This window comes from Homo sapiens, chromosome 1 (assembly GCF_000001405.40).
Source record: "Homo sapiens chromosome 1, GRCh38.p14 Primary Assembly".
Taxonomy (NCBI): Eukaryota; Metazoa; Chordata; class Mammalia; order Primates; family Hominidae; genus Homo; species Homo sapiens.
In genome coordinates this window covers 143,822,948-143,836,535 of record NC_000001.11, presented here as the reverse complement: position 1 = coordinate 143,836,535, position 13,588 = coordinate 143,822,948, and the positions used below count along the sequence as shown (strand labels likewise).

Sequence of the window (13,588 nt, the reverse complement as noted above, 5' to 3'; positions counted from 1 at the left end):
ACACACACACACACACATTATAACAAGAACGTTCATAGCAGTTTTATTCACATACCCAAAACTACAAACAATCTAAGTGTCTATTATCAGGACACTGGCAAATAAACTGTGGTATATTCGTTCAATGGAATACTACTCAGCAATAAAAAGGAATGAACATCTGATATACTCAACAATGTGAATAAAACTCAGAGACTTTATGCAGAAAGAAGGAACTGGACATAACAGTGGGCATACTCCATGAGTCCATCTACTGGAATTCTTAGAAGAAAAACTAATTTAAGATGCAAAACATCAGCATAGTTGCTTTCAAAAATAATGCAGAGGAAAATGACAATGAGGAAGATCATTCTGATTGATTACTAATTAATCGTCAACCATATCCAGACACAGCTAACAATGGCAAACTGAAATAGACTACTTTTTTCTTTTCTTTTTTTTTTTCTTTCTTTTTTTTTTTTTTTGAGATGGAGTCTTGCTCTGTTGCCCAGGCTGGAGTGCAGTGGTGTGATCTCAGCTCACTGCAACCTCCACCTCCCAGGTTCAAGCAATTCTCCTGCCTCAGCTTCCTGAGTAGCTGAGATTACAGGTGCCTGCCACCATGCCTAGCTAATTTTGGTACTTTTAGTAGAGATGGGGTTTCACCATGTTGGTCAGGCTCATCTTGAACTCCTGACTTCAAGTGATCTGCCTGCCTCGGCCTCCCAAAGTGCTGGGATTATAGGCATGAGCCACCGCGCCTGGCCTAAGACTACTCTTATTAGCCCCATTTTACAGAAGAAAGATTGAGGCACATAAAGTTTAAGTTATTTATCCAAGGCCACACAGGGGCAGAACTAGACTTACAAACCAGAATACAGGTGTGGTTTGAGCACAGATCAGACCCAGTCTTTCTTCTTCTTGTGCTCTAATATCTTGAGCACAGATTAGACCAGGTCTTTCTTCTCCTCAGTTTTAGGTCTTTCTGGTTTTCTCACCTTGTAGGGGTGAAAAGAGGAGAGAGAAGGGAGAAGGCAAGGGGGCAGTGGGGTGGAAGCGCAAGGATCTATAGTTGTCAAAGAGCACAGCAGGAAACTACTGTAAATGTTACATCAAGGGTTATACAAGTTTCTGGGAGATTGAACTGTTGGTCTGCAAGTTGTGGATTTTATAGTGGTTAAGCATTGTGCTGAGATCAGGAGATGAAATTAAGAAGAATTATAGATTTAAAAATAAAAATAAAAACATGTTTCTGGAAGAAAATGTAGGAAAATATATTCACAATCATAGGGTAGGAAAGATGTCTTAGAGGTCACAAAAAATAAGAAAATTGGATTTCATCAAAATTAAAAACTGCTTATCAAAAAATTACCACAAGAAAGAAGGCAAGCCTTGTTAAGACTGGGAGAAGATATTTGCAGTATGCTTATTTGAAAAATAACTCAAATATTGAATATTTAGAGAGAACTTTTAGACATTAATAATAAAAGCCAAGCTATTTAAAAATGAGCAAAATACATGAATAGGCTTTCTTCACACACACAAAATTTCTAAATGGCCAAAAGACATAAGAAAAAATGTTCAAAATCATTACTCGTTAGGGAAACACAAATTAAAACTTCAGTGATGAGCTACCTTTATGCACTGCTATGGTCTGAATGTTTGTGTGTCTGCCTCCCCCCACTAAATTTATTTGTTGAACTCCTAATCCCCAAGTTGGTGGTAATAGGAGGTTTAGGCCCTTGGAAGCTGATCAGATCATGAGGACTCTGCCTTCATGCATAGGATTAGTATCTTTATAAAAGAGGCTGGAGGGAGCTTGTTTGCCCTTCCACCATGTGAGGACACATGGAGAAGGCACAGCCTATGAACCAGAGAGTGAGCCCTCATCAGGCACAGAGTCTGCTGGCACCTTGAACTTGGATTTCCCAGCCTCTAGAACTGTGAGAAATAAATTTCTGTTGTTTGTAAGCTACTCAGTTTAAGGTATTTTAACAGCTTGAATAGAAGAAATTTGAAAGACAAGAAGTACTGACAAGAATGTGGAGTAACTATACTCTCGTTGCTGGTGAGGAGGTAAAATAGCACAACCATTTTGGACAACTGTTTGGCAGTTTATAATAAAGTTAAATTTAGACCTACTCCATGACCTAGCAACTCCACTTCCAGGTATAAACTGAAGAAAAATGGGTGCATATGTCTACAGAAAGAATTGTACTAGAATATAGCAGCTTTGTTCACGAGAGCCAGAATTGGAAATAACCCAGTCATCCACACAGAAATAACAGTCATCAATAACACCAAAATAATATACTAAAAACATGGATGCATCTCAAAAACATTATGCTGCAGGAAATTAGAAGTCAGACACAAAAAAGTATATTCATTTATGTGAATTTCAGAAGCAGTCAACATTCGTCTGTGAAGATAGAAATCAGAATGGTTTGTCTAAGTGAAAGGAAGGTGGATGGGAATCTAAAGGAGGTTATTGACCTTTCTGGGCTGATGGAAATTTTCTATAACTTGATCTAGGCGATGGTTACGTTTCTATGCCCTTAAGATTTGTGCATGTTACTCTATGTGAATTATACTTCAATAATGTACTATTAGCGCTCCCGTTCCCCCGCCAAATAATTAGGTGGGGGAGGTGGAGGATGGCATCAAGTTTAGGTTCTATTACATTTATTGGGTTTTATATGATCAGATTTTATTGTAAAATACCCTGTTGAATGAGAACTCATACAAAGCTCATTGTCATTGCATCTAAAAAGGCCTTACTGACCTTTGAAATATCTCAGCCAGAAAAATGGTTATTACCACACCATTATGTCAGTTGAAGCTACAGACAAGGCTCCTGAAGAGTCAGGGCTTTACCTTTTGAGATGGTTCCTGCACATGCTCAGACACACGGTCCCTTCTAACCTTCCCCAAAGATTCTGCCGTAGGTTAGTGCACTGTGGGGGTTTCCTTCTCTTGTCCTGACTGCGTCACAGGGAGACACAGTAAACTCTGCTTTCTGACCACAGCTACTGGGTGCAGTTGGTAAGGGGATTTAAAAAGTGAAACTGTAACACATACCAAATCTTGCCAAGAAGGAAGCCAGATGCTACTGTGGCTCCAATTCCAGCCAAGGTTGCTTCGGTCACAATGAAGAGCACTAACTATTATATCATCATGGTGCACCATAAACCTGGGGTTGCCAGTGGGCTGCTTTTAATATTTTTGATGAAAAAATATCCACGATATTTTCCTGTTTTGTTCTTGGATAGCTACAAGTTCTTGTGTTTTTTCTCTTTCATGTCCTTTTTCTATTTCTTCCCATTCAAATACATGACAAAAACAATTCTCATCTCTCAGGATCCAGCCTTTGCCTCTGCACAAGTCTCCTGGGAGGTGTCATTGTCCCTGCTGTTTCCCTCTTCATGTCTCCTTTGGTCCCTGCCCCTTTCCTGATCTTGCCCACTGACCCCAAAAGACGTAAGAAAAATGTTCAAAATCATTACTCGTTAGGGAAACACAAATTAAAACTTCAGTGATGAGCTACCTTTATGCATTGCTATGGTCTGAATGTTTGTGTGTCTGCGTCCCCTCACCAAATTTATTTGTTGAACTCCTAATCCCCAAGTTGGTGGTAATAGGAGGTTTAGGCCCTCGGAAGCTGATCAGATCATGAGGACTTAGATCTCAGTTCTGTTGAGAGCCAGGAGCTGCAGCCGCACAGATGGCGCACTCTAGGCCTCTTTGTGGCCTACCCCATGGGACATTGCACACTTGGAAATCAATTGACCAGAATAAAGCCTTTAAAAAAAGAACTTCCCCCTTTGAAAAATCCTTTCATTTATTTTCCAGTCTCAGAATCCTTCAAAGGGCTAAAAGCTTAAAGATGACAAAGTGTGAAAACGAAGGCCCATCAAATGAAAAAAGCAATGGTTATTTATTCTGACGCAAGGGCGACAGCCACCGGCATCAGCCACCGGCACTTGCATTTTGACAGAGCTTAGAAGGCAGGTAGAGGAGTGGGACAGCTTTATAGCTGAGGAAAGGGAAGGCTTCAGGTGTGCCCTGATTGGAGACTGCTGGTGTGGGGAAGCTGCCTGTGGGCTAACTAGAAGGGGGACATCCAGTGTGCTTGGTTAGGGGTGCATATTTGGCTTTCCCTGGTTGGTCCTAAGTTGCAAGTGGGAACATAAATTAGGGAAAGTGTCAGTTACTAACCAAGCTCTTGCCATTTGGAGCCGATTATTATGGATGTTATTGTTTGTTACTACAGATAACTGCCTGGCTCCCTGTGAGTCTGACTTATGTAATAGCAGGCTGGCTTCCCCGGTTGTTTATTCGTAGATAAGGAAGTTGATTTCTTGGGCAGGTGGCCCCAGGTTGTGGATCAGAGTTATATTTTTACGTACAGTCCGGCCATTGTTCGATTGTATATTCTGTCTCTGAAATGTATTATTAATTCAACAAGTCCTAATTGAGCACCCTGGGCGTTTCAGCTTCCCTGGGGCCCAAGTCGCTCTAACAGGAGTCGCGATCCCGGCATCTCCGGAAGCGCCGGCTTCTGAGGCAGGTGAGGGGGCAAGGCGGGGTGCGGGGCGTTTCGGAATCACTCAGTGCACAGGTTTCAAGCTTGACAAACAAGTAGATTCGTCGCTCTGACTGCTCCGGCTTTCCGAGGCTTTGGAGATTACCCAGTCATTTTGCAAAAGGCGGATGGTGCTAGCTAGCGTTTAGTGACAGCTTACCCTCTTTTAGAACGAAATCAGGAGCTCAGCCATGTCTCTGTGGCGCAATCGGCTAGCGCGTTTGGCTGTTAACTAAAAAGTTGGTGGTTCGAACACACCCAGAGGCGTCGCTGATCTTTTATAACTCCCACGGTGGTCTGCTCCCTTGAAGACTACATGCCTCACTTCCCCTCCTGTCAACTAGTGGCTGCTTCTCATCCTCCAAGAAGGTCTCTGTTGGAAAGAAATGCAGTTGGAAGGTACAGAAGTTCCTTGGACCAGGGAACAAGAGAAATTTTGTGTGATCTGTTCACGGGTTCTGGGTGAAATCTTGCTTCTTTTTGTGCCTTTGGGCTATTGACAAGCTATTTGTACCTCAATATTTTTTCAACTGTAATATGAGGATGGTAATAATACCGCATTTGCAGGATGTGCCTAGATTTAATAATTGCTCAATCAATAATGTTATCAGTAGACTCAAGATTATTATTATCCTCTGCATTATTTTTGATGAAGGCATTTCTTCTTTTGTTTATTCCATCATGTAACCCTTTACATGTTGTTTTTTAAATTAAGTTTGTTCCATGATTTTACGATTACAAATAATGCTGCAGTCATCATTCTTGTACAAATATCTTTTGCTATTTGTACACGGATTTCTATAGGGTAGAGTTCTGGAAGCGCAACTGCTGTATCATAGTGGTTACAGTACACATTTTTTATTTTAATTAATAAGCCCTGTAAATTTGCCTTCCATAGAAGTGGTACCAATTTATATTCCAATTTGTTTTTTCAACTCAGAGAATCCTTTTCTTCATACTCTTGCTAGCACAATAAACTTTCTATACATCTGTCTGATAAATAGAGGGGCTGAGAGCTGTGGCTCACACCTGTAATCCCAGCACTTTGGAAGGCCGAGGTGGGCGGATCACCTGAGGTCAGGAGTTCGAGACCAGCCTGGCCAAAATAGCGAAGCCCCATCTCTACTAAAAACACAAAAATTACCACAGGTGGTGGCCTGTGCCTGTAATCTTAGCTACTCGGGAGGCTGAAGCACAAGAATCACTTGAACCTGGGAAGCAGGGTTGCAGTGAGCCAAGATCACGCCACTGTACTCCAGCCTGGGCCACAGAGCGAGACTCCATCTCACACACACATACATACGAAATAAAATAAAAAATAAAGGGAGTGTTGCCCTCCTGACTTAACTAAGGGGAGGTACAACAGATGACATGGCGCACATGGAGCAGTAGAGTATCTCCTCATCTCTTCAGCTAAACTTCCAAGATATTTTGCATAGCTATAATTTGTTTCTGTGGTGACCAGGTCTGGAGAAGATATTCTGATATTTATTACTCCACTCTTTCCTCTATAAATGGCAAGGGTGAATTCGTATGCTATCTGTATTAGTCAAGGTTCTCCAGAGAAACAGAATCATCCATCTATCATCTATTTTTATTGATTTATTTTAAGGAATTAGCTCACATGATTGTGAAAGTTCAAGGCAGGCAGGCTGGAGACCCAGGGAAGAGTTGTTATTTGAGTCCTAAGATATTCTGTTGGTAGAATTTCCTCTTCTTCCAGGAAGGTCAATCTCATTCCATTCAGGCCTTCAACTGATTGGATGAGGTCCACCCACATGACATGGGGCAACCTGCTCTACTCAAAGTCTACTAATGCAAATGTTACTCTCATCCAAAATACCCTTTCTCAGAAACCTCCAGAATTATATTTGACCACATACCTGGGCACTGTGGTCTAGCCAAGTTAACACATAAAATTAACCATCACACTGTCTCTATATTATTCCTTGACAGTTTTTCTTTTTTCTTGCTATGTCCACAAAGATTTGCCCACCTGAGACATATAATCTTAGCTAATAGAATCCTGCACCTTATGGGCATCCCATGCGGACCTGTAATCTCAGAGCTATTGGCATATGTTCCCTCAGTTCATCTGTTGAATCTCATGAGCAGAAATTGAGCTATTTGGCTTTTAGACACTAAATGTAATTCTTAGACAAGTATTTTTTCTCTCTCTCATTTGTACATTGTCAACCATTTTTTTCCATGATCCACATGGAATTCTGTTTTTGATTTTATGAAATGAACATCTGGGGATAGTGGTTAACAGGGATACATTATCTGTTAGGTGGTAGATGACAGCTTATCTAGTCTGTGAGTCTTTTTGGACTGGCTATTTGTTTGTCCTGAGGTTCTTAGTATTTCCTAGTATTTGAGTCTGCAGTGTTGAGAAGTGGTTCACATCTTATCTATCTAATACTAGATAAAATCTTACGGGTCCAACAAATGTCAATATCTGCAAAAGTGGAATATCTTTTGATCTACTATTGATTCACATTTGATCCACAAGGATGATCTCCATGCACAATGATTTTCCCTTAGGAACTCTGACTTCAATATGTCGCTCTAGCTAAAGGGATCTTGGAACAGAAAGAAAACTGAATTTCTGGCATCCAATATTCTACTTTCTTAGACTAAAGTTCCTAAACGCTATACCCATTAATTTCCCATTCTTCCCTCCCTAGCCCCTGGCACAACCACCATTATTTCCTGTCTCTATGAATTTGACTACTCTAGGTACTTCATATAAGCAGAATTCTATAGTATTTTTTCCTTTTGTGACTGGTTTATTTCATTTTGCATAATATCCTCATGTTCATCTATGTTGTAGCATGTGTCAGAATTTCTTTTCTTTTTTAAGGCTGAATAATATTCCATTGCATGTATTTGCCACATTTTGTTTATTCATTTACCTGTTGTTGGACACTTGGGTTGTTTCCCTTCTTTAGCTATTGTAATACTGCTATTGATGTAGGTGCACAAATATCTCTTTGAATCCTTGCTTTCAGTTCTTTTGAGTATATAGCCAGAAGTAAATTTGTTGGATCATGTGATAATTATTTTTAATATTTTGAGGAACCACCATATGGGTTTCCACAGTGGCTGTACCATTTTATTAGGTTGGTGCAAAAGTAATTGCGATTTTTGCCATTAAAAGTAATGACAAAAACCGCAGTTACTTTTGCACCAACCTAATACATTCCAAACAACAGTGCACAGGGGTTTCAATTTTTCCACATCATCACCAACACTGATAATTTTCTTTCCTTCTTTTTAAAATAATAGCCATCTTGTAGGCCTTACTTTTAATTTCCATTTTGTCCTCGAAATCTTGGAGATTGAGCAAGAAGGAGGGAATGCGCATCTTAGTGAGATCTTCTTAGTTACCACCAAGCCTAATGGCTCAGAGCAAGGGTCTGGATGAGTCCTGGCTCTCACTCTCATAGAGATGATGGGACCTTGGAAAGGTAAGCTCAGCCTTTCAGTGCAATGTTCTCATCTGCAACAAGGGGTTGTAATAATCAACACTATCGGCTGCGCGGGGTGGCTCAGCCTGGAATTCCAGCACTTTGGGAGGCCAAGGTAGGTGGATCACCTGAGATCGGGAGTTTGAGACCAGCCTGACTGACATGGTGAAACCACCCTGCCTCTACTAAAAATGCAATAATTAGCTGGGCATGGTTGTGGGGCCTGTGATCCAGCTGTTCAGGAGGCTGAGGCAGGAGAATCGCTTGAACCCGGGAGGCAGAGGTTGCAGTGAGCTGAGATCACACCACTGCACTCCAGCCTGGATGACAGAGAGAGACTCCATCTCAAACAACAACAACAACAACAACAACAACAACCACCAAACAAAAAAATCAACACTATCTTGTAGGGTCGTTATGTGGACTAAATAGGTTACTACACAGTAAAGCACTTAGAAACAATGCCAGTCACATAATAATGCTCTTGAAACAGTTATTATTATTATTACTATTATTATTATGTCTTTGTTTTCATTTCTAACTGTACCAGTGAGAAATTTTAACATTCCCTAAAATAAATTAGAAATATTCAATGGTTTTTTTGACCTCTTCTCCCCATATTAGTGGCCAGGTGTCTGAAAAACTGGTTACTTGAAGTGTCTACTCAAAGTACAGACGTAGAATCCTACAGCAGGATTCTATCCTCCAACAGGATCTCTGTTAGTGCACCAGAGGACTGGATCCAACCTGATCAAATTCTTGGACCTTGGACAGGCCTGATTGTTTAGGTCATGGTAGACAATCTTTGGCACATGATTCTAGCAAGAGCCTTTAATACCCATTCAGACTTACGCAAGTATTACAAGAAAAATGCAAGTATATACCTACCAATGGCCTCTTCTCTTTTTTTTTGTTTTCTTCAGAAATCAAGGTAGGAAAATTTGATTTACCTGGAATTTGTAGAAGATTTCCTCTTTCAGTTACGATGGAGTTTTGTGGCAAACCAGCACTCCCTTCGAAAAGAAGTAGATAAAATCTGGTTTAAAGGAATTCTGTTTGAAGTCTTTGAAAAGCTAGGACCCACAGGGCCAGCTACAGAAAGCGGGTGGAGAGAGAGAGAGAGAAAGAAGATCATTGGAATGAAACAATTTTTCCCCCTCAGGGTATTTGCTAGTTCTTGGCAAGGGACAAGAGGCTGAGAAGCTGGGGAGAGGGCAGTGGTTAAAAACCAGAGAAAACAGCAGCACTTTAAGTAACCTCATGGGGGTGGGGAGTGGGTAGACATGTGGAGCTGTCCAGGTATTTTGACTTGAAAAGCCAAGATTCTAGAATGAATTGAGATGTGAACTGAACACTTGGTAAAGGTTTTCCCCTCAAGGCATTTGTGAATTCAGCTCTGTGCTGGTGAGAGGCTAGCAGAGAGTGGCTGAAAGCAGTTTTCATTGGGAAGGATGCAAAGGAGACAGAAATCAAAATTCACTACCCTCCAAAAAAATGGCGCCTCTCAAATTGGGAGTCCTAGAGGTCTATAGCCTAGGAATGTGGGCAAACCAGATATAGACTGAGCCTTCCCATGAGTGCAAGCAAAGGTGGGTGGAATGGGAGTTTGGAAGGTTAAAATCGACCTCATATTAAATGAAACCCCTACACGTTGCTACTGCAAGGGAAAGGAAGCAAGTATCGCATTGGGATATATTATTTATTATGTATTAAAAGGTAATACAACATGAGGCTAAATTTATTAGTCAGACTTAAATGATTATTCTCCAGTTTTAGTCACTATACTCTTGAAAGAATGTAGGAAGTGAAAACCTGGAGAGTTCCTAAAAACGAAGAGTAAGAATCACTAGAAGTTAAAAAAAAAATCATTTAGGAAAAGCCACAAGAATTGTTTTTACTGAAATTGTCTTCAAGAAAGTAAAAGCTGCTGAGAAAATGTTTTGATGTTTTCAAGGAGAGGTATACTTAGGTTATTTTGCTGTGGTTAGAAATTGGTTGACAACATAAGCAAAAGGGTAAAAAAGCTGGCTATTGAGGGGGTGGCCTCCCCTGTTATAGAGACCTCCAGGGTGAAATACGCAGCCTTGCATTGAGTGTGGCTATCAGAAGGCAGGGCTTCCTTGGGTTCTGTAGCTACTTCCACATTCTAATTCTGTGATTGTGACTCAAGAGCTGGCACCCTGAGTCTTCCCCATAGCACTATTGTTGATGTCCCAGTGACATGGGATTTGAGCTCTGGCATCTCAAAATGTGTTCCTGCCTTCATGACTCTCAAAACTTGTGGAAGCAAAATGCTTCCTGACCTCTGAAGGGACATTCCCTGGGAACTTCATAAGAACCTTATCTCAGCTATAAGAAACAAAAATACTCATCCCTTAGCTTAGTTTAAACCCCATTTGTTTTCATTCATTTATTGCCTGTTTTTTCTTCTAAACACCTGTGGGACCTCCCCTTCCTTCTCATAACAGCACCCACCCCGACCCCACCCCAGCACTTGCTGCATCTTTCTTTTACCCAGTGGATTGTTGGGTCCTCATGGCTGAGGAAGTTGTAGGCTTCACTCTACTTCCTGGTAGGCTCTGCTCTTGAGATTCTATCGTCCTACGGGATCTCCACTAATAATCTAACCTCTGTAAGCCATAATTTTGTTTCAATTGCTTTAGGTAGTTTTGGAGAAAAGCCTGGCCATTGTGAAGACATAGACATCTTTCTTCTCTGTCCTTCCTTTCAAAGACGGCTGTAAGAGAGCTCTTCATGAGAAAATGTCCCAGCAGAAGGCTGGGATGCATCAGCCCTCAGAGAAGAAGGGACCTGCTGAGAAGGGAGTGAATGAGCAGAAGCCTCGGGTTGAGGAAGAATTCTCTGTATCCTGCAGTGGGCAAGAGACTTCCCACTATCAGCATTAAGTCATTGCTCGTCAGAGTAGCTTTCAGGGCCTGCAGCCAGCCTCCATACCTTAATTGTAGGGCTTTCTCTTAACACCTTCCTGGAAATTTCTTCAGAGAAAAATCTATAAAAGTTTTATTAGTAATGACTTTATATTATTCAGAGAAATTTGGTTTTATTCTAACTAACATTGCATGTATTCACCAAATATATGGCCTTTGTGGTTACCTGAGCTGGAAATCTTCCAGTCATGTGAGTGGTCTCTCTTCTGGATCCCCAGGAGCATGTAGGAATCTCCTGTTTCTTCATATGTTACTCTGGTGAATGCTGAACTGTCCCAGTTCCCGAGGAGGTAGATTTATACAGAGGCCCCTCCATTCTACTCCATCCTCTATGGAAACTCAGGTCCCTGGCTTCTGGAATGGCAGTTTTGATAAGCTGAATTTTAAAAATAAGCTTGCAGAATTGTCAAATAGTGGCCTGTTGGCTAAATTTGTCAGTTTGTTTTTCATGGCCATTTTCCTATAGCTTTTTGGAAGCATTTAAATAATATGGGGTTAATCCATTACGCATTTGCCTGTGAGCGCCAGTTACTGAAATACTAAGTTACTGAAATCACTAATTTGCCTAAGTGGTTGGTGCACAGCTTTGGAAGTGATTCAAATCCTGCTTCATGCTCCATTAGGTCACTGCCCAATATATTCCACTTAAATTTCACTGACCCAGAGAATAATGTTAGTTAGGGCTAAAATAACGCTAGGCCAGGCGCAGTGGCTCACGCCTGTAATCTCAGCACTTTGGGAGGCTGAGGTGGGCAGATCACTTGAGGTCAGGAATTGGAGACAGCCTGGCCAACATGGTGAAACCCCGTCTCTACTAAAAATACAAAAATTAGCTGGGCATGGTGGTGGGCACCTGTAATCCCAGCTACTTGGGAGGCTGAGGCAGGAGAATTGCTTGAACCCGGGAGGTGGAGATTGCAGTGAGCCAAGATAGCGCCACTGCACTTCAGCCTGGATGACAGAGCAAGATTCCATCTCAGACAAAACAAAACAAAACAAAACAAAACAAAACAAAACACCCAAAAAACTCTAGAGTCAGTTAGTCTCATTACCTCATTTTAGAACTGAGAACACTTAGGCCCTAAGAGATAGTCATTTGATCAAAGTTGCATAATAGCCTCTGGCAGAGATAACATTGGAATCCTGTGCTCTCGATTCACAAAGGCTACACTACACCCACTTCATCAAATATATTTTTAAAAATTATACTTCTGTGATCATTCTTTTTTTTAATGGACTTTTTAAGAGCAGCTTTAAGTTCACAGCAAAATTGAGTGGAAAGTAACAGAGAGTTCCCATATGCCCCCTACCCCTGCACGGACACAGCCTCCCTCACTATCAACATCTTGCCCCCGAGTGATAACATTTGGTACAACTGATGAACCTACATTGACTCATCATCACCCAAAGTCCACAGTTTACAGTGGGGTTCATTCTTGGTGGTGTATATTCTATAGGTTTTGACACAAGTATAAATGTATAATGGCATGTATCCACCATTGTAATAAAGAATGACTATTCCCTGCCCTAAAAATTCTCTGTGCTCTGCCTATTCATTCTCCTTTCCCTCCTAACACCTGGCAACCACTGATCTTTTTACTGTCTCCACTGTTTTACCTATTCCATAGTGTCATATAGTCAGAGTCATACAGTATGTAGCTTTTTTAGGTTGGCTTCTTTCACTTACACACTTAAGGTTCTTTCATGTCTTTTCATGGCTTCATAACTCATTTCTTTTTAGTACCAAATAATATTCCATTGACTGCATGTACCAAAATTTATCCATTCACCTACTGAAGGACATCTTGGTTGCTTCCAAGTTTTTGCAGTTATGAATAGAGCTGCTATAAACATCATGTGCAGGTTTTTGTGTGAACTTAAGTTTTCAGCTCGCTTGGGAAAATACTGAGGAGCAGATGGTTAGGTCATTTGGTAAGAGTATGTTTAGTTTCACAAGAAAATGCCAAACTGTCTTCCAAAGTGGCTGTACTATTTTGCATTCCCACCAGCAAGGAATGAGAATATCTGTTGTTCCACATCCTTACCAGCATTTGGTGTTATCAGTGTTCTGGATTTTGCCATTCTAATAGGTGTAGAGTGGTATCTTGTTGTTTTAATTTGCAATTCCCTAATGACATATGATGTTGAGCATCTTTTCATATTCTTATTTGCCATCATCTTTGGTGAGGTGTCTGTTCAGGGTTTTTTGCCCATTTTTTATTGTGTGGTTCATTTTCTTATTGTTGAGTTTAAGAGTTCTTTGTGTATTTGGCTTAATAGTCCTTTACCAGATATGTCTTTTGCAAATATTTTCTCCCAGTGTGTTGTCTTCTCATTCTCTTGATGTGCCTTTTGCAGAGCAGAAGTTTTTAATTTTAATGAAGTCCAGATTATCAATTATTTCTTTTGTGGATCATGCCTTTTGTGTTATATCTGAAAAGTAATCATATAGCTGGGCTCGGTGGCTCACACCTGTAATCCCAGCACTTTGGAAGGCTGAGGCAAGAGGATCACTTGAGCCCAAGAGTTTGGCTGCAGTGAGCCATAATCACACCATGATCACGCCCAAGGAATGCTTCAGTGAGCCATGATCATGCCCTCCAACAAAT

General features: G+C 40.9%; 1 pseudogene across 4 annotated transcripts in view; it reads left to right on the top strand.

The window, feature by feature from the left end:
- PDE4DIPP3 (PDE4DIP pseudogene 3) overlaps positions 1 to 13,588 on the top strand; it is a 28,902-nt pseudogene that overhangs the window by 3,768 nt on the left and 11,546 nt on the right. The window contains exon 1 of one of the 4 annotated variants that reach the window (XR_001737708.2): positions 4,181 to 4,546. The exons of the other annotated variants lie outside the window; for them this stretch is intronic. The product of XR_001737708.2 is annotated as a PDE4DIP pseudogene 3, transcript variant X3 (transcript). Of the gene's footprint in view, positions 1 to 4,180; positions 4,547 to 13,588 lie in introns of those variants that run through there. 4 annotated transcript variants of the gene reach the window in all.